The sequence below is a fragment of the Homo sapiens genome, chromosome 3 (assembly GCF_000001405.40).
Source record: "Homo sapiens chromosome 3, GRCh38.p14 Primary Assembly".
NCBI lineage: Eukaryota > Metazoa > Chordata > Mammalia > Primates > Hominidae > Homo > Homo sapiens.
The window spans coordinates 47,921,027-47,941,982 of NC_000003.12; the positions used below are offsets into that span (position 1 = coordinate 47,921,027).

Sequence of the window (20,956 nt, forward strand, 5' to 3'; positions counted from 1 at the left end):
GTAATCCCAGCTGCTCAGGAGATTGAGGTGGGAGGATCACCTGACCAGGAGGCCAAGGCTGCAGTGGGCCGTGATCGCATCACTGCACTCCAACCTGGGTGACAGAGTGAGACCCTGTCTCAAAAAAAAGGGGAGATGACAGCCCAACTGTGAATCTGTGAATTGTCTCCTTTGATTAATCCAAAGAGAGCCTTGTCACACCCACAGCCCCTAAATCTGACTTTTCTTAGTGGTTAGCTTCAAAGGTGATGTGTGAAAGGCCATGTTGATTGTTTGGCATTAAACAACTAAAGGACACCAGAATATGCCACCCCAAAATACGCTACTTTGGCATAAGGACTTTTTTAAGCTGAAGGCTATTATTAGCCTGGAGATGGCACCATAGGAATCTACACAGCAACCTTTACTAACTAGCTTTTACCTACCATTTACCTGTCTCCCACAATTTGCGGCCCCTAGAGACTCAAAAGTCTTTTCCTTCATCTTCTCACCTCTCAAAAAAAAAATTTGTCATTCTTTATTGAAGAAGCTATATAAGGTGGAATTCTAAAGCCACCTCTTGCGGAGTTACTCATTCCCTAGGTACCTCTCATGTACATATTAAATTCACATTTTAAACTTTGGTCTCTTTTTTCTTGTTAATCTTTTGTCACAGAGCCCTAGTCAGTGAACCAAAGATGAGTAAAGAAAAAATTTTTTTCCTTCCCTACAGAATAAATCCATTTGAAGAAGCCATACCGTAACTGTCTTTCAAGGGATCATTTTGTCCTGCAAATATTGAAGTATCAGCTGTCGCACTGGAGGGAAAGACCAAATCTGCCAGGTCATCATCATGGTACATCTTAAAGGGATCTGGAATATAGAAGAAATCCAAAACTCATTCCTGGTGAATGCAACTAGAAAGATTAATATTTCTTTCTTTCTTTCTTTTTTTTTTTTGAGGTGGAGTCTTGCTCTGTTGCCAAGGCTGGAGTGCAGTGGTGCCATCTTGGTTCACTGCAACCTCTACCTCCCAGGTTCAAGCAATTCTCCTGCCTCAGCCTCTTAAGTAGCTGGGATTACAGATGCCCGCCACCATGCCTGGCTAATTTTTGTATTTTTTTGTAGAGACAAGGTTTCTCCACGTTGGCCAGGCTAGTCTCAAACTCCTGATCTCAAGTGATCTGCCCACCTCGGCCTCCCAAAGTATTAGGATTACAGGCGTGAGCCACCATGCCTGGCCAATATTTCTTATTATCCTATGATGAATATAGATGAGTTGTCAATAGTAAGTAAACCGAAATCATATGTGACTGCACATGGTAGAGAATCAATATTCACTAATTCATTTGTTATGAGTTAATAATAAATAATCCCTTCTCTAAGATTTGGTTATGTACATCAGATAGCCAACAAATGCATAAAACAAAAAGGGCAACTAATGCTCAGCTGTATAACAAACACTCTGAGAGGTGAAAGTATAAACTAAATTTTCAATATATATTTATATAACATTCATTTTAAGTTACTTTTTAAAAAGACAGAGCCATTAACAAGCTTAAAAAAAAAAACCAACAAGTAATTTTTCACCTCATGTGGACATGATGAAGAAAACTGCATTTCAAAACTGTCTGAATGGGACAAGATAAACAATTGTTATCCTAACAGAAGAAATAAACTCTTGACTCAGGAGCTGGCATGAATAAAAGCACTCAAAACATCAGGTAAACTCTTTGTGCTTTTGTACATGAAAAAAAAGCAGGGCCGGGCATGGTGGTTCATGCCTGTAATCCCAGCACTTTGGGAGGCCAAGGCGGGCGGATCACGAGGTCTGGAGATTGAGACCATCCTGGCTAATAGAGTGAAACCCCGTCTCTACTAAAAATATAAAAAAATTAGTCAGGCGTGGTGGCACGTGCCTGTAGTCCCAGCTACCCGGGAGGCTGAGGCAGGAAAATCGCTTGAACACGGGAGGCAGAGGTGGCAGTGAGCCGAGATGGCGCCACTGCACTCCAGCCTGGGTGATAGAGTGAGACTGTCTCAAAAAAAAAAGAAAAAAAAGCAAAGCTGTTCAGGCTAAACAAGAGTTCCACTTTCTGAAGAGGCCTTCTTGGAATTTATTTTATTATCTTAATCATCCTGAAGACTTGTTAAAAATAAAGATTGCTGGTTCCTGAGAATCTGCATTTCCAACTAGTTCCTGAGTGACACTAACACATCACTCCCTTAAGACACTTCAATTGTCAGAGACAGCCGCATAAAAGCCCAGGCCTTGAGAGAATGTTCATTTTCTTGGCTCTGAGGCAGCTATACCACCCTCTTTTTGTAAGAAATTTCAGGATTAGGGGAGACCACTGCATCGGGAAGTGTGAACAAGCAGAAGGCAATATTGGGAAACTTGTTGAGGCTTCTTCTTCAGAAAACCATGGGAGCCTGGAAAAGTGGCACACACCCCAGCTACTTGAGAGGCTGAGGTGGGAGGATCTTCTTGAGCCCAGGGGTTCAAGGCTGCAGTGCACTATGATATGGCGACTGTGAATAGTCACTGCACTCCTGTCTGGGCAACACACCGAGACCGCCCATCTTTAAAAACAAAAAACACAGCCTGCTTTTTGTTTAAAAAAAAAAAAAACAAACCCTTATTTTCAAAAAACGGAAAAATTAGCCAGGCATGGTAGCGCATGCCTGCAGTCCCAGCTACTCGGAAGGCTGAGGTGGGAGGATCACTTGAGCCTGGGGAGGTTGAGTCTGTGGTGAGCCGTGGTTGTACCACTGAGCTACAGCCTGGGTGACAAAGTGAAACCCCATCTCAAAATAAATAATAAAAACAGAACAAAATTAAGAAAAAGAAAAGATGGGGAGATAGAATATGAGAGAGATGATAAACATTCATTCTTCCCAGTTCTATATGGTTTGGGATAGCTCGCTGCTTGCTCTGCCTCTCACACTTCCCCCTTGAGGGAAAAAAGGATTCTTAAAGCATCAAACAGACTAAATTCTGGATGGTTTGCACTTTAAGATGGGAGCTTGCTAAATTACTTGTAAAAATAGATGATTCTTACAGAGTTCTGTCATTTAGTCATTAATTTTTTACTGGGTGCCTACCACATGGCAGACCCAGTATGCTCTAAAAAACCCAAAGATGTACAAGGTCAGGGATGGGAACATTTATATATGTTCCCACAGGATATATTTTGGTTCAAGTCAAGGGAGATCTTTGCTTGATAAGTATTTAAGCTGAGAACTAAAGAACTGAGTGGTTATGAGGAGGAAGACAAACCTTTTCTCTCTCTACATTCCCTCTCCTCTAATCCCACAGTTTAAAATTCCATCTATAGGTTGATGACACCTGAATTTATAATTCAAGACCTCTAGACCTCTCACCTTATTTTCAGACTTTTATGTAGCATGTTTCCAAATCTACTCATTATATAGTCTTTCCATCTCTAATGGCATTCTATCCTTCTATGTTTTTTGCAAAAAACCTTGGAGTCATCCTGGACCTCCTCTTTTTCACACACCACAGCCAACCCATCAGAAAATCCATTGCCCTTGACCTTCAAAATGTGCCCCAGAACCTATTTCTCCCCCAGCTCCATGACTAGGGTTTCTCACAAGGTTGCAGTCCAGCGGTTGGCCAGGGGCTGTGGTGATCTGAAGACCTGACTGGGGCTGCAGAACCTGCCTGTTAAGATGGCTTACGTGGCCGTTGAATGGAGGCCTCTGCTCCTCTCCCATGTGTGCCTCTCTATATCAGCTGGCTTTCCTCATGATTAGTAAACACAGAGTGATCAAGATGGAAGCTACGATATTTTTTTTTTTTGAGATGGAGTCTCGCTCTGTCGCCCAGGCTGGAGTGCAGTGGCGTGATCTCAGCTTACTGCAACCTCCGCCTCCCAGGTTCAAGCAATTCTCCTGCCTCAGCTTCCCGAGTAGCTGGGACTACAGGCATCCGCCACCACACCTGGCTAATTTTTTGTATTTTTAGGAGAGACGGGGTTTCACCATGTTGGCCAGGATGGTCTCCATCTCTTGACCTCGTGATCCACCTGCCTCAGCCTCCCAAAGTGCTGTGATTACAGGCGTGAGCCACCGTGCCCGGCTGAAGCTATGATATTTTCTGTAATTTAATCTTAGAAATGACACACTATTATTTCTGCCATCTATTCTACAATCACACAGACCAAACCTAGTACCACATGGGAGGTGACTACACAAGGGTATCAATACCAGGAGGCAGGGATCATTGGACGCCATCTTGGCAGTTGACTACCACACTCAACTTTCCGCTGAGGAAATTAAACTCCACTGAATTTTTTTTCCTACTCAAAATTGGTCATTCCTTTGTTACCCTTGCTGGCTCCTCTTCTTCCTGATTTAAATTATTTATGTACTTATCATTTGAGCTTGGGCGGTCAAGGCTGCAGTGAGCCCAGACTGTGCCACTGCACTCCAGCCTGGGCGACAGAGGGAGATTCTGTCTCAAAAAAATAAAATAATGAACAAAATATGGTATAGCCATATAATGGAGTATTACGTGTCCATAAAGAAAGTACTGATACATGCCACAAAATGCAGGACTCCTCAAAACAGTATGCTAAGTGAAAAAAAGCAGTCACAAAGAAACCACTTTATATGATTCCCTTTATATAAAATGTCCAATCTAAGCAAATTTATAGAGACAAAAAGCAAATTGGTAGTTGCTTAGGGTTGCAGTGGATAGGGAGATGGGGGTGATATTTAAAAGGTACAGAGTTTCTTTTTGTGGTAATAAAAGTGTTCTAAAATTGAATCTGGTTATGGTTATAACCATAAATAGATAAATAGATAGGTAAGTAGATAGAGTACAATTCAGCGGAATTTTTTTGGAGACAGAGTTTCGCTCGTTGCCCAAGCTGGAGTACAATGGCACGATCTTGGCTCACTGCAACCTCTGCCTCCCGGGCTCAAGTGATTCTCCTGCCTCAGCCTCCCAAGTAGCTGGAATTACAGGCGTGCACCACCATGCCTGGCTATTTTTTTATATTTTTAGTAGAGATGGGGTTTCACCATGTTGGCCAGGCTGGTCTCGAACTCCTGACCTCAGGTGATCTGCCCACCTCAGCCTCCCAAAGTGCTGGGATTACAGGCGTGAGCCACCACGCCCGGCCAATTCAGTGGAATTAAGTTACTCTATTTTATTTATTTTATTTTATTGAGACAGGGTCTGGCTCTGTCACCCAAGCTGGAGTTCAGTGGGACAGTCTCGGCTCACTGCAACCTCTGCCTCCCGGGCTCAAACGATCCTCCAACCTCAGCCTCCCAAGTAGCTGGCATTACAGGCGCCCGCCACCATGCCCGGCTGATTTTTTTATTTTTAGTAGAGACGAGGTTTCACCATGTTGGCTGGGCTGGCCTCGAACTCCTGACCTCAGGTGATCCGCCTGCCTCGGCCTCCCAAAGTGCTGGGATTACAAGTGTGAGCCACCACGCCTGGCCTAAGTTACTCCATTTATCTACTCTATCTACTCTACCTATCTGTCTGTCTGTCTGTCTACACATCTATCAGGGACAGGGTCTTGCTGTATTGCCCACGCTAGAGTACAGAAGCACGATCCTAGGTAACTGCAGCTTTGAAGTGGCAGACTCAAGTGATTCCCCCACCCCAGCCTCCCGAGTAGCTAGGACTACAGGCATGTGCTGCCACAACCAGCTAACTTTTAAAATGTTTTGTAGAGACAGAATCCCATTATGTTGTTCAGGCTGGTCTCAAACTCTTGGCCTCAAGTGATCATCCCACCTATGCCTCACAAAGTGCTGGGATTACAGGCACAAGTCACTGAATCTGGCCGAACTATATACTTTAAATGGGTAAACTGTATGGTACTGTGAATTATTGGCCAGGCGCAGTGGCTCACACCTGTAATCCCAGCACTTTGGGAGGCTGAGGTGGGCAGATCATCTGAGGTCAGGAGTTTGAGATCAGCCTGGCCAACATGGTGAAACCTGGTCTCTACTAAAAATACAATTAGTTGGGTGTAGTGGGCACCTGTAATTCCAGCTATATGGGAGGCTGAGGCAGGAGAATCGCTTGAACTCAGGAGGCAGAGGTTGCAGTAAGCTGAGATTGCGCCACTGCACTCCAGCCAGGGTGACAGAGCAAGACTCTGTCTCAAAAAAAAAAAAAAAAGAATTGTATCTCAATACAGCTTTTTCTTCACCCTCCCCCCATAATTACTTTGTACCTAGGAAAGCCGATAACTGACAAATGGTACAGAACATCACATACTAGGTTATTTGAAACAAACGATGAGCATCTTATAAGTTAGATGTCAAAAAAGAAGCCATATTTAAGTGGAAACATAACTTGAGCTCTCAATCTGGCTAACAGGGAAGTACCAAAGCTATTCCTTTAAGGCTCTTTTGGAACTCATTCTTCCTACCAACTCTAGCTCTGGGCTACTACAGATAGGCTTTTGTTTGTTTGTTTGTTTGTTTGTTTGTTTTTGAGATGGAGTTTCGCTCTTGTTGCCCAGGCTGGGGTGCAGTGGCGCGATCTCGGCTCACTGCAACCTCCGCCTCGCAGGTTCAAGCAATTCTCCTGCCTCAGCCTCCCGAGTAGCTGGGATTACAGACATATGCCACTACACCTGCCTAATTTTGTATTTTTAGTAGAGACAGCGTTTCTCCATGTTGGTCAGGCTTGTCTCGAACTCTCGAACTCAGGTGATCCGCCCACTTTGGCCTCCCAAAGTGCTGGGATTACAGGCATAACCCACCGCACCTGGTCTGTTTTTAATTTTATAGAAAGTGGGTATGAATCAGCTTTCTCTTCTGTCAAAAGAGGATACATATATTTGGCAGAGTTAGGTAAGAAATACCGATAATGTGTATATAAAGGCTCTAGCACTGTGCCTGGCACAGAACAGCACTGGTTTAACATTACCATAATAATTCCTTCTGGAAGAATTAAGGTTCTAAGGTACTATGGATCCTCTAATCTTCAGTGTATATGAATTTCACATAATGTATTTAAAATAGGTTTTGAAGAGCAGGGAACTAGAGGGCATTAAGTGTCTCAAAGGAAAGGATAAATGAAGAAGAGAAAGGGACAAACCAATGCTAAGGTTGTACTTTGTGATCTATACTTAAGCTAAAGCATTTTCATCTGAATGGTGGTTGTAGCTTTTTCACATTTATGTCATAGCACACATTTAGTAGTCACGAGCAAGCCAACACTTACCAGTCTGGATAGGATCGACCACTTGCTCAGGTTGGAAACAAAAGTTGGTATCTTCTGGCCAGTTCTGGCTATTTGGGTATTCCTGGTAGGCCATTTTCTCTTCAAGGAATTCAGTTGGAGACCCTTAAAATAGAGACACAAAACAAAAGTTACAAGATATTACAGTTTTCTCCTCCACTACAGTGGAATTTCTACAAAGTATTACAGCTAGTACAATATAAAAAATCCTATCTAGCTAGTGTCTTACAAGAAAACTTTTTTCTTTTAATTGAAAGATAAAAGGAGCTGGGTGCAATGGTGCGTCTGTAGCCCCATTTACTTGGGAGACTGAGAGAGGATTACCTGAACCCAGGAGTTTGAGGCTGTAGTGCACTATGATCACACCTGTGAACAGCTACTGCACTCCAACCTGGGCAACATAGCAAGACTCTGTCACTAAAAAAAATTTTAGATAGAAGGAAATAAAGTAGGTCATTAAGGTTAAAAAAACACTACAGAGTGACTTCTAGGTTATGCAGGCACGAAGAGGGTAGTGATTTCTCCACATGAAAGAACAAGGATAAAACTGTCAAAAGCAACAATTTCAGGGAGCTGGAATTAAAAAAAAAAAAAGCCAGCCTAAATAAGTGGAAAGGTATAACATGCTCAGGAATGAAAGATTCAATACTGTTAAGATGGCAATCCTGAAAATGACCAATATATTGAAGAAAGTACAAAATAAGCTCATTCCATAATTTATATAAAAATGCAAAAAACCTAGAAAAGCCAAAACAATTTTGAAGAAAAACAGTTGAAGGGCTTACATAACCTGATTTCAAAAGTTATTATAAATGTACCAACTCAGGCTGGGAGAAGTGGCTCACCACCTGTAATCCCAACACTTTGGGAGGCTGAGGCAGGCAGCTCACTTTGAGGTCAGGAGTTCGAGACCAGCCTGACCAACATGGTGAAACCCTGTCTCTAGCAAAAATACAAAAATTAGCTGGGCATGGTGATGCATGCCTGTAATTCTGGCTACTCAGGAGGCTGAGGCACGAGAATCACTTGAACCTGGGAGTGGGAAGGTTGCAGTGAGCCAAGATTGCGCCACTGCACTACAGCCTGGGTGACAGAGCAAGACTGTACCAACTCAGCATGGTATTGACAACGTGGTATTGGAACAGAACAGGTTCAGAACGTGGTACTGGAACAGAACAGGTTCAGAAAGAAACATACAAAGTTAGGGTCAACTGGCTATCTACAAACATAATATAATTCAACATAATTATATTCAACCCAGAAACAAATTTTTTTTCAACAAATGATACAGAAACAATTGGACACTGACCACATACCATATGCAAAAGTTAACTCCAAACAGATCAAAGACCTAACGTAGCTCACTTGCTAACTTATTATGCAAAAAAAAAAAAAAAAAAAAAAAAAAAAAAGACAAGACAAAGACCTAATGTAAGAGTTAAAACTAAAAAAACTTATAAACAGGAAAAAATCTTTGTGACTTTGGATTAGGCAAAGATTTCTTAGACATGTCACCAAAAGCACTATCTGTAAGAGACAAAATATATAAATGGGACACCATGAAAATTTAAAACTTTTGCTTTTCAAAGATGCTATTAAACGGCCAGGCATGGTGGCTCATGCCTGTAATCCCTGCACTTTGGGAGGCCGAGGCAGGCGGATCACCTGAAGTTAGGAATTCAAGACCAGCCTGGCCAACTGGGTGACACCCCATCTCTACTAAAAAATACAAAAATTAGCTGGGCCTGGTGGCCTGTGCCTGCAGTCCCAGCTACTCAGGAGGCTGAGGCAGGATAATCACCTGAGCCTGGGAGGCGAAGGTTGCAGTGAGCTGACATTGTGCCACTGTACTGCAGCCTGGGGCAACAGAGTGAGACTGCGTCTCAAAAAACAAAACCAAACAAAAAAACAAAAGACAGGCCGGGCGCGGTGGCTCACGCCTGTAATCCCAGCACTTTGGGAGGCCGAGGCGGGTGGATCATGAGGTCAGGAGATCGAGACCATCCTGGCTAACAAGGTGAAACCCCGTCTCTACTAAAAATACAAAAAATTAGCCGGGCGCGGTGGCGGGCGCCTGTAGTCCCAGCTACTCGGGAGGCTGAGGCAGGAGAATGGCGTGAACCCGGGAAGCGGAGCTTGCAGTGAGCCGAGATTGCGCCACTGCAGTCCGCAGTCCGGCCTGGGCGACAGAGCGAGACTCCGTCTCAAAAAAAAAAACAAACAAACAAACAAAAAAAACAAAAGACAACAACAAAGGTACTATTAAAGAAAATGAAAAGAGAAGTCATAGACTTCGAGAAATATCTGCAAATCATAAATCTGATAAAAGATTTGTATGTAGAAGAGATTATAATCTCTTACAATACAATTATAAGATAAACAACTCAATTTAAAACTTGATGGCCAGCTGCAGCGGCTCATGCCTGTAATCCCAGCACTTTGGGAGGCCAAGGTGGGCGGATCACAAGGTCAGGAAATCGAGACCATCCTGGCTAACACAGTGAAACCCTGTCTACTACAAATACAAAAAAAAATTAGCCGGGCATGGTGGAGGATGCCTGTAGTCCCAGCTACTCAGGAGGCTGAGGCAGGAGAATGGCGTGAACCTGGTAGGCAGAGCTTGCAGTGAGCGGAGATCACGCCACTGCACTCCGGCCTGGGTGACAGAGCGAGACTCTGTCTAAAAAAAAAAAAAAAAAAATTGGCTAAATATTTCAATAGACATTTTACCAAAGAAAATATATAATGCGTAATATGCACATGAATGAAGCTCATCAGTCCTTAGGGAAATGCAAATTAAAACTACAATGAACTCCTACTACAAAACCACTAAAATGGCTGTTATCAGGCCAGGCACAATGGTTCATGCCTGTAATCCCAGTACTTCGGGAAGCTGAGGCAAGAAGGTCACCTGAGCCCAGGAGTTTGAGACCAGCCTGGGCAACATAGTGAGACCCTGTCTCTACAAAAACATACAAAAAAAAAATTAGCCAAGCATGGTGACGAGTGCCTTTAGTTTCAGCTACTCAGGATGCTAAAGCAGGAAGATTGCTTGAGCCTGGGAAGTCGAGGCTGCAGTCACCTGTGATCACACTACTGCCTTGGTGACAGAAAAAGGCCCTATTTTTTAAAAAAGGCTGTACAAAAAGACTGACAGGAGCAATTTTGAGAATGTGTAAAATGGTAGTTTGGTGGTTTCCTTTTATTTACTTATTTTTGTTTTTCTCAAAGTTGCTCTTTTTTTGTTGTTGAGACAGGGTCTTGCTCTGTCATCCAGGCTGGAATGCAGCGGTGTGGATCATGGCTGACTGCAGCCTCAACTTCCCAAGCTCAAGCAATCCTCTCACCTCGGCCTCCCAAGTAGCTACAAATATAGGCACTTGCCACCACACCTGCCTAATTTAAACAAAATTTTTTTTTTTTTTTTTTTGTAGAGACAGGGTCTCATTATGTTGCCCAAGCTGGTCTCCAACTTCTGGGCTCAAGCAGTTCTCTGATCTCAACCTCCTCAAGTCCTAGGATTACAGGTTTGAGCCACTGTGCCTGGCTCCATCTGTATTTTTAAAGACTAGTCAAGTACAACAGTGAGAAGCAGGGAAAGAGTGGAACGTGGAGTTCAATCTGTAACTGACTGAACAATTGAGATAACTCACTACCTTTGGACCAGCCTCTTTTTATTTTTTAAATAACAGTTTTATCGAGTATAATTCACAAAATTCACTCTTTTAAAGTCGAGTTCAAAGGTTTTTTAGCATATACACAGTTATACAACCATCACCACTATCTAACTTCAGAACATTTTCTTCACTCCAAAAAAGAAATCCCATATCTTTTCTCCTTTCCCACTTTCCCCTACCCCTCGGTAACCACTCGTCTACTTTTTGTTCCTAAGGATTTGCCTAATCTAGATATTTCATATAAATGAAGTCACACAATATGTCATCTTTTGTGACTGACCTCTTTCATTTAGCACAATGTTTTCAAGGTTCATCCATGCTGTAGTATGGTAACTGAACTTTATTCCTTTTTATAGCCAAATAACATTCCACTGTGTAGATCCACCACACTTTGTTTATCCATTAATCAGCTGACATTTGGTTGTTTCTACTTTTTGGATATTGTGAATAATGCTGCTATGAACATTCACGTACAGGTTTTTGTGGGAACGTGTTTCAATTATCTTTGATATATCCCTAGGAGTAGAACTGCTGGGTCATAAAGCAACTTTATGTTTAATATTTTGAGACACTGCCAAACTGTTTCCAAAATGGCTGCGTCATTTTACAATCCCAATAACAATACATGAGGACTCCAGTTTCTTCACATCTTCACCAACATGTTGTTATCTTTTTTTATCGTAGTCACCCTAGATGTGGTAAGAAGTAGCATCTTATTGTGGTTTTGATTTGGACTGCTCTAATGACTAATGATGTTGAGCATTTTTTCATGTGTTCATCTGGCATTTGTATGTTTTCTTTGGAGACGTGAAATGAGTGGGGTCTCATTATGTTGCCCAGACTATTCGGGTGCAGCGGCTGTTCACAGGTGCAATCATACTGCCTTGCAGCCTCAAACTCCTGGGCTCAAGTAATCCTCTTGCCTCTGCAAGAGACACCTACAGCTGAGACCACAGGTGTACACCACCATGCTTGGCTATCTTTTTTTGTTTTTATTTTTGAGACAGTCCTGCTCTGTTGCTCAGGCTGGAGTGCAGTGGCACGATCACAGCTCACTGCAACCTTAAACTCCTGGGCTCAAGAGATCTTCCTGCCTCAGCCTCAAGAGTAGCTGGGACTACAGGTGCATGCCACCACACCTGGCTAATTTTTTTTTAATTTTTGTAGAGAAGAATCTCAAAAGCATTATGCTAAGTGAGGAAATCAAGATACCAAAGAATATATATTGTATGATTCCATTTATATGAAATTTCTAGAACATACAGAACTATAACAGGAAGCAGATCAATGGTCACCTGAAACTGTAGGTCAGAAAAGGGACTGGCTTTGTAAATGGGCTCAAGGGAACTTTTAGGGTAATAAAAAAATGTTCTAACGATGGATTACACTGATGGTTGCACAACTCCATAATATTACTAAGAATCATTTCGACTCCGTAATTTTACTAAGAATCATTTACTTCCACACTTACAACAGGTAAATTTTTGGGTATGTAAATTACACCTCAATAAAGTTTTTTTCTTTCTTTTTTTTGAGACAGGGTCTCACTCTGTCACCCAAGCTGGAGTGCGGTAGTACGATCATAGCTCACTGCAGCCTCGACCTCCCTGACTCAAGCAATCCTCTCACCTCAGCCTGCCAAGTAGCTGGGACTACTGGCATATGCCATCCTGCCCAGCTTTTTTTTTTTTTTTTTGAGACAGAGTCTTGCTCTGTCACCCAGGCTGGAGTGCAGTGGCGCGATCTGGGCTCACTGCAAGATCCGCCTCCCAGATTCACGCCATTCTCCTGCCTCAGCCTCCCAAGCAGCTGGGACTACAGGCGCCTGCCACCACGCCCGGCTAATTTTTTGTATTTTTAGTAGAGACAGGGTTTCACCATGTTGGCCAGGCTGGTCTCAAACTCCTCAACCCAAGTGATCTGCCTGCCTCAGCCTCCCAAAGTGCTGGGATGACAGGCATGTGTCACTGCACCTGGCCCCAAAAGCCAACTTTAAATGGCATTTCAACACAAGTAGGTTCCCCAGAGCTGAATGTGGTGAAATTGGGTTAATTATGTAGTTTAATTTTCTGTACTCTATGTATGTATTCATCACCATTTCAGTAGATATGTAAGGCCAATTTTACATAGGTCACACATACTTGTTTTTAAACACTGCTGGAGAAGAAATCTCAAGGCTGACCGAAGCAACAGACTCAGGCACTGGGTAAAGAGAGGGACAGGACATCAAGAGCTAATCTACTGGTGGTGACCAGGCAGCACTGAATCAACAGCACCACAACATATTAAATAATTTTTTTAAAAAAGTGATTAGGGTTTTGAACCCTACTTTTCCCCAGTCAAATTTCTACCCTTTCAATACCTTTTAGTATCTGCTGTATACTGATGGCATAGTTTTGAGACAGCGTCTCCTTTTGTCTCCCAGGCTGGAATCCAGTGACTTGATCTCAGCTCACCCTAAACTCCGTCTCCCAGGCTCAAATTATCCTCTCACCTCAGCTTCTTGAGTACTGGGACTACAAGCACGTGCCATCACGCTCGGCTAATTATTGTATTTTTGGTAGAGACAGGATTTCACCATGTTACCTAGGCTGGTCTTGAACTTCTGGGCTCAAGGAGTCCACCCATCTTGGCCTCCCAAAGTGCTGGGATTACAGGCCACCGTGCCTGGCCCAGTCTGCTTTCTTATAAACAATATTAGTGCGGCTCATAATTTACATATTACTAACAAACGAATCAGTGACTCCTTCTATTTCACACCCTCAGCTCTTTCCTTGTTTTTTTGTTTTTTTCCCCCAGTGGTAACCTCAGAACTTTAAAGTGAAAGGAACCTAGAGGATCACCTAATCCAAACCTCTGAAGTTTAAACCATGCCACATTTGTCCAGATAATTCATTTACCAATTTAAGCACATACTGTCAATCGCTACTCCAGGCATTAGTGATTCAGCAGTAAACCAAATGGTGAAATGTCCTGCTCTCATGGAACTTAGATCACCACCATCACCACCCTATGCTTAGGCACTACGAAAACACAGAAGCAAGTATTAGCCTAGTTGAGAGTTTAAGACATGCCCAATGATGCAAACCTCTGCAAGCTTTAGTTTTCATAACTAATACCTACTTCATAAGGCTAAGATATGTGAAGTGCTTAGAAAATTATGAGAAACATGCTAAATTATTGCTAATCCTATAATAACCATTATGGTTTATGTAGGACAAGTGTCTACAATGCAGTAAGTGCTACTTATAGGAGTTTAAAGAACAGTCACATAACACAGTCGTGGGATGATCTAGGATCTTCCTGTAGGAGACTAGAACTTAATTGAATCTAGGAAGATAGAAGGATGTAATTAAATGAAGCTGGGAAACAGAGAAAGAGACAAAGTGGGGAAGACACACAGCAAGCAAAATAGAAGTTAGGGCCATGGGCAAGAATGGGAAAACCAAGAGCATATCACTTTGGATGAAACACATTTATGAAGGACAGCAGTTCTTCATAAACGGCAGCTAGAGTTTCAAAGGCCAAATAGAAACTTAAGATTTGTCTGCCTGAATGCCTTCTAAAGGGAAACCCACCCCTAGGAACCATCCCATTCCTCTATTTGGTCCTGGTGTTTTGCTTTCCCCACCGAAGAAGTAGACTTGTGATTCAAGCAGGCCCAAAGCCCTTTTGGAGAAACCTGATATACAGACATTTTAAGATATTGAACCATAATAATATACCTGAGCTGGCCAGGCGTGGTGGCTCACACCTGTAATCCCAGCACTTTGAGAGGCTGAGACGGGTGGATCACCTAAGGTCAGGAGTTCGAGACCAGCCTGATCAATATGGTGAAACCCCATCTCTACTAAAAATACAAAAATTAGCCGGGGGTGTGGTGACGTATGTCTGTAGTCCCAGCTACTCAGGAGGCTGAGACAGGAGAATTGCTTGAACCCGGGAGGCAGAGGCTGCAGTGAGCCGAGATCACACAACTGCACTCCAGCTGCAGTGACGTAGTGAGACTTAGTCTCCAAAAAAAAAAAAAAAAAATATTAGGAATATACCTCAAAAAAATTAAGAATTTTATATAAGAATATAAAATTAAGAATATAGCTGCCAGTGGCCATCTTTCTCAACCCTGAAAGACACTGCCTAAGAATGAAGCCAAAGAAGGTGTAGGGAGGAAAGAAGGGGAGAAAGAGGAGGGTGGGAGAGAGACAAAGAAGGAGAAGAAGGAGAGAAAGAGGCCAGGCATGGTGGCTCACACCTGTAATCCTAGCACTTTGAGAGGCTGAGGTGGTGGATCACTTGAGGCCAGAAGTTTGGCACCAGCCCGACCAACGTGGTGAAAACCCGTCTCTACTAAGAAAACAAAAAATTAGCCGGGTGTGGTGGTAGGCACCTGTAATCCCAGCTACTCGGGAGGCTGAGGCAGAATTGCTTGAACCTGGGAGGCAGAGGTTGCAGTGACCCGAGATCACATCACTGTACTCTAGCCTGGGCAACAGAGCAAAACTCTGTCTTAAAAAAAAAGAAAAGAAAAAAGGGGGAGGAGAAAGGAGAGACTTATGGATCAGGTATTATTCTAAAACCCTTATATGTTAAAAAAAAAAAATCTAGCTACAAGCACGCAACAAAATATACAAATATACAATGCCTAGTTCTTATAATGGCACACGTAACATTGAGGAAATCTCTAAAAACAAAGCTTCTTCACAGGACAGAAAAGCAATCTAAACCAAAAAGAGATATGCTAAAGAAGGAAAACAGAACTAGAAAACAGAATCAGGAGCCCAGGCACGGTGGCTGGCGCCTGTAATCCCAACACTTTGGGAAGCCAAGGTAGGCAGATCACCTGAGGTCAAGAGTTCAAGACCAGCCTGGCCAACATGGAGAAACCCCGTCTCAACTAAAAATATAAAATTAGCCAGGCATGGTAGCGGGCTCCTGTAATCCCAGCTACTCGGGAGGCTGAGGCAAGAGAACTGCTTGAACCCGGGAGGTGGAGGTTGCAGTGAGCCAAGATCGCGCCACTGCACTCCGGCTTGGGTGACAAGAGCGAAACTCCGTCTCAAAAAAAAAAAAAAAAAGAAAAGAAAGAAAACAGAATCAGGAGACCCAGGTTCTAATCTTGACTCTGCCACTTAACTTTGGGTGTGACCTTAAGACTGTTAGAGCTACACTACTCATCCAGAATTAAAAAAAAAAATTGTGCTACATAATTTCTGAAGCCCATTTTAATTTTAAAATTAATTCTGAGACTTTTGACTTATCCATTCATCTTTATAATTCTCAAAAATCTGGTAAAACATAACTTACAAATAAGACTCAGCAGTTATTAGACAGATGAAATACTTGGTCATTTAAGTAGATGAAAGTACTCATTACTTGTCTAAGCCAGAAAAATGACGATGAATTAAAGAACAAACCACAGCATCCTCGGGAAGGTTCACAAGTGGCATATACACTGAGCAGAGGGGAAGAAAAGGTGATGAAACTTGGATAAACGCCTTTTTAAATTAGTAAAAATATTAAAAGCAATATGTTTTTTCATAGGATTAATATATTTGTCTTAGTTCTTGAATCACAAAACACAAATGTAATAAAACAACCCCATTCTGGATTACTGCAGTGAAATTAATCAGAAAATTATAGGAGAAAGATGTTTCTGATGTTCTCAGGTTGAAGGTAGGAATCAATCTCAGAACCTTTGGCTACCTTCAAGAACAGCTTTTCCTTTTTCTTCTTCTTTTTTTTTTTTTTTTTTTTTTGAGACGAAGTCTCACTCTTGTCCCCCAGGCTGGAGCGCGATAGCACAATCTCAGCTCACTGCAACCTCTGCCTCCCGGGTTCAAGCGATTCTCCTGCCTCAGCCTCCTGAGTAGCTGGGATTACAGGCGCCTGCCACCATGCCCGGCTAATTTTTGTATTTTTAGTAGAGACGAGGTTTCACCATGTTGGCCAGGATGGTCTCGAACTCCTGACCTCAGGTGATCCGCCCGCCTCAGTCTCCCAAAGTGCTGGGATTACAGGCATGAACCACTGCACCCAGCCATTTTTCTTCTTTTATTATTATTATTAAATATTCTAAAAAATCTATAGAGGGAAAGGAGGGAGAGAACAGCTGGGCACCAGCAGACATATTTGAGTTCTTACTTTTATTTTATTGAGACAAGATCTCTGCTGGGTGTGGTGGCTCATGCCTGTAATCCCAGCACTTTGGGAAGGCAGAGGCAGGCAGATCACTTGAGGTCAGGAGTTAGAGACCAGCCTGGCCAACATGATGAAACGCTGTCTCTACTAAAAATACAAAAATTAGCCACGCATGGTGGCGCACACCTGTAATCCTACTCGGGAGGCTGAGACAGGAGAATTGTTTGAACCTGGGAGGTGGAGGTTGCAGTGAACCGAGACTGTGCCACTGCACCCAGCCTGGGCGACAGAGCGAGATTCTGTCTCAAAGGAAAAAAAGAAAAAAGGGAATTGTTAATTGAGACAAGGTCTGACTGTCTCCCAGGTATAGTGGCGCAATCACAGCTCACTGCGGCCTCAACTTCCTGGGCTCAAGCAATCCTCCCCTCTCAGCTTCTCCAGTAGCTAAGGACACAGATGTGTGCCACTATGCCCTTCTAATTTATTATTGTTATTATTTTGGGGGTAGAGACAGGGTCTCCATACATTGCCCAGGCTGGCGTTGAACAACTGGGCTCAAGCAATCCTCCGGATTTGACCTCCCAAAGTGCTAGGATTACATGCATGAGCCTCTATACCAGGCCCATATTTGAGTTCTTAACCCTGGCTTTGCCACAGGCTAACCATGTAAATTTGGGACAGCCCTTTCATCTCTCTTAGTCACAGTAATGACCTCTAAGGATACTTGTTCAGTTCTAAAATTATGGTTAAGTAAAAAACATTCTTCAAGTCACATCCTATTTAGAGAAGGTGCACCTATCCATCTATTTCAAAGCTTATAAAGACGATGTGTTTAGGGCTTCAACAACACAAAACATTATTACGGCAAATGTTAGATGCTAATCTAAAGCCTTCCTTACCCATCAAATGAACCCATCCCAGGCTTGTTCCCTACTACTCCAACAGGAAAGTCATGCAGTAAGTATGCTGTCCCCTCATGGCTCCTGCTAGAGCCTGTGCTCCACTCTGCCCCTGTGCCTTTGCTCATGAGATCACTGATCCCCTGCTTGAAATGTCTCCTCCCTGATCCAATTCCAAAGCCACCACTTGGGCCTCATAGCTTCCACAGAACCTCTCTGATGACTTTAATGCTCATTTTCCACTACTTAGCTCTTTTACCATTCACTGTTACTAGGAAAGAATTTAGTCCTTAAGCACATGTTTTCCTGTTAGTCTTTTTTTAAAAAATTAAAAAGCCTTTAAGTATTCTATTTATCATTAAAATTTTCATTATTTTACATGTTAGTAAGTGAACTCATTAATGTTTAAAAAGAAAATACTGTGCTTTTACTACTTTTATTTCCTCACAATGCCTAGCTAACTGCATGAGACAGAATAGTATTCAATAAATAAGTTGCTATCAAATTATCACAAGATCATTATTTGGGCTAAATGATGTAAGTTAAATTCACATTATACACCAAACTTCTTGGAAAGTGATTTGCATTTATTATAAAGAGCATAAGGTTGGTGACATAATGTTTTTTTTTAAAAAAGCATAAGGAATTCCAAAATAATTTAAACAATAGCCTATCATTTCTAAGATAGACATTAAAAACTCTGATTCTGCTTATATTTCTTACTCATGGTAAGAAACTGTAAAGAAATAGTTTTTTTTTTTTTTTTAAACAACCACCTCTTGATCAAAAAATAAGTTTTTAATCAGAGAAATGGGTACATTTTCCTCACCCCTCCTGGAGAAGGAGCATGAAAGTCTGTTTTTTGTTGTTGTTGTTTTTTTCATTTTTTTAAAAATTTTTTTGAGGTGGAGTCTCACTCTGTTGCCTAGGCTGGAGTGCAGTGGCATGATCTCCACTCACTGCAACCTCCCAGGTTCAAGCAATTCTCCTGCCTCAGCCTCTCGAGTAGCTGGGATTACAGATGTGCACCACCATGCCTGGCTAATTTTTGTACTTTTAGTGGAGACGAGGTTTCACCATGTTGGTCAGGCTGGTCTCAAACTCCTGACCTCAGGTGAGCCACCCGCCTTGGCCTCCCAAAATGCTGCAATTATAGGTGTGAGCCACCACACCTGGCCCAAATCTGGTTTTAAGATGCAGAATTTTGCTGGTTATTCCCTTCCACAGGGTGCAGCACAGCCTGGAGCAGCTATCTCAACAGCAAAGTTCAGAATCACCAGTCCCCCGCCACCATTATTATTAAGGAGCATGTTTGACCAGAGGCTCACTCCCACATCTTTATTCAATACTGCTGACCTAGATTTTGTTCTTAAAACTACACAGCAGAAGCAGGCAAACTCCCCTGTAGAAACAACAGCCTTCAGAATAAATTTTTTAGCATACTTGCAATCTACTCAGAGAGTCTATTTCAGTAAAACTATGGAAAATGAAATTCTAAACAAGAAGCAATTTACATAATGCAGTAGAAAAAATACTTACCACTACCACTGGCCATCCCTAGAGACTTTGATTCTCCTATAAAAGTAGAATGGGGAAGGACAGGGGACAGTTTTCTATCTCTGTGAAATTGAAGGCATTTAACAGAAAAGGCATATGGCTAAACACTTAAAGTACTAATTAAACAAGTAGCATATCTACATATCAAAACTAGACTAATTCTGTCACATATGATCCATTCCAAGTGCAAGATAGACTAATGGATTTTAAATAACAGTACAAAAAGTTCATTGATATGGTTTCAGATTCCCCATTGCAAACAACCTTTAAGAAACTACCACTTGGCTAGGTGCAGTAGTTCACCCCTGTAAACCACAGCACTTTGGGAGGCTGAGGTGGGAGAACTGCTTGAGACCAGGAATATTTTTTTCATTTTTGGAGACAGAGTTTTGCTCTTGCTGCCCAGGCTGGAGTGCAATGGTGCAATCTCGGCTCACTGTAACCTCTACCTCCCGGGTTCAAGCAACTCTCCTGCCTCAGCCTCCCAGGTAGCTGGGATTACAGGCAGCCACCACCACACTTGGCTAATTTTTTGTATTTTTAGTAGAGACGGGGTTTTACCATGCTGGCCAAGCTGGTCTCAAACTCCTGATCTCAGGTGATCCACCCACCTCGGCCTCCCAAAGTCCTGGGATTACAGCGCCTGGCCAGAGCCCAGGAATTTGAGATCAGCCTGGGCAACATAATGAGACCCTATCTCTACCAAAAAAAAAAAAAAAAAAAAAAAAAAAGGAAGAAGAAGAAGAAAAGAAACTACCATTTGTGAAGTTTTGATGTCAAATCAAATACCCATAGTTACCTGGAAAAAAAACTGTCAAAATATTCCTCCTCCTAACTACATATTTGTGTGAAATGGATTTTCTTCATATACTGCAACCCAAACAACATATTGTGACAGACTGAATGCAGAGGCAGATATAAAAATACAGCTGTGTTCTATTAAGACAGACATTAAAAAGATTTTTAAAAGCGAAACCATGGCTGGGCTCGGTGGCTCACGCCTGTAATCCCAGCACTTTGGGAGGCCGAGGTGGGCGGATCAAGAGGTCAGGAGTTCGAGACCAGCCTGGCTAACATAGTAAAACACAGTCTCTACTAAAAAAACAAAAACAAAAAAAAAAAAAACTGGGCATGGTGGCGTGTGCCTGTAATCCCAGCTACTCAGGAGGTTGAGGCAGGAGGACTGTTTGAACCCGGGAGGCAGAGGTTGCAATGAGCTGAGATCGTGCCATTGCACTCCAGCCTGGGCAACAGGGCAAGACTCCGTCTCAAAAAAAAAAAAAAAAAGGCGAAAACGCTACCACTGTTCTTACTAATCTCCTTCATTTTTGAAACTATACTTCTCAATAAAAATATTGTTTATTATTACTTTTTAAAATGAGATAAGTATTTTTCAGGTTTCTCCAGTTTTAGTTTGATAAATAGATATAACCCTCACAAACACAAGCTCTTTGGGGGTCTTTACT

The 20,956-nt window shown here is 42.4% G+C and overlaps 1 protein-coding gene across 163 annotated transcripts in view, besides 1 other annotated feature; it reads right to left on the reverse strand.

Moving 5' to 3' along the window:
* MAP4 (microtubule associated protein 4) overlaps positions 1–20,956 on the reverse strand; it is a 238,154-nt gene that overhangs the window by 70,332 nt on the left and 146,866 nt on the right. For 127 of the 163 annotated variants that reach the window (NM_001384862.1, NM_001384845.1, NM_001384867.1 and 124 more), the window contains 2 exons: positions 7,202–7,324; positions 739–852 (listed from right to left, as the gene is read on the reverse strand). The exons of 1 other annotated variant lie outside the window; for it this stretch is intronic. In NM_001384862.1, coding sequence (NP_001371791.1) covers positions 739–852; positions 7,202–7,295 — 208 coding nt within the window. In that variant the 5' untranslated portion in view covers positions 7,296–7,324. Of the gene's footprint in view, positions 1–738; positions 853–7,201; positions 7,325–19,472; positions 19,509–20,956 lie in introns of all 163 variants that reach the window. 35 more of the 163 variants (NM_001384872.1, NM_001384875.1, NM_001384678.1 and 32 more) reach the window with 3 other exon arrangements.
* Positions 17,919–18,119: a silencer, noted in NCBI's record as "peak4636 fragment used in MPRA reporter construct". NCBI's record gives its function as "represses an SCP1 promoter by STARR-seq MPRAs in K562 erythroleukemia cells {active_cell/tissue: K562}" and the evidence as "EXISTENCE:reporter gene assay evidence [ECO:0000049][PMID:32103011]".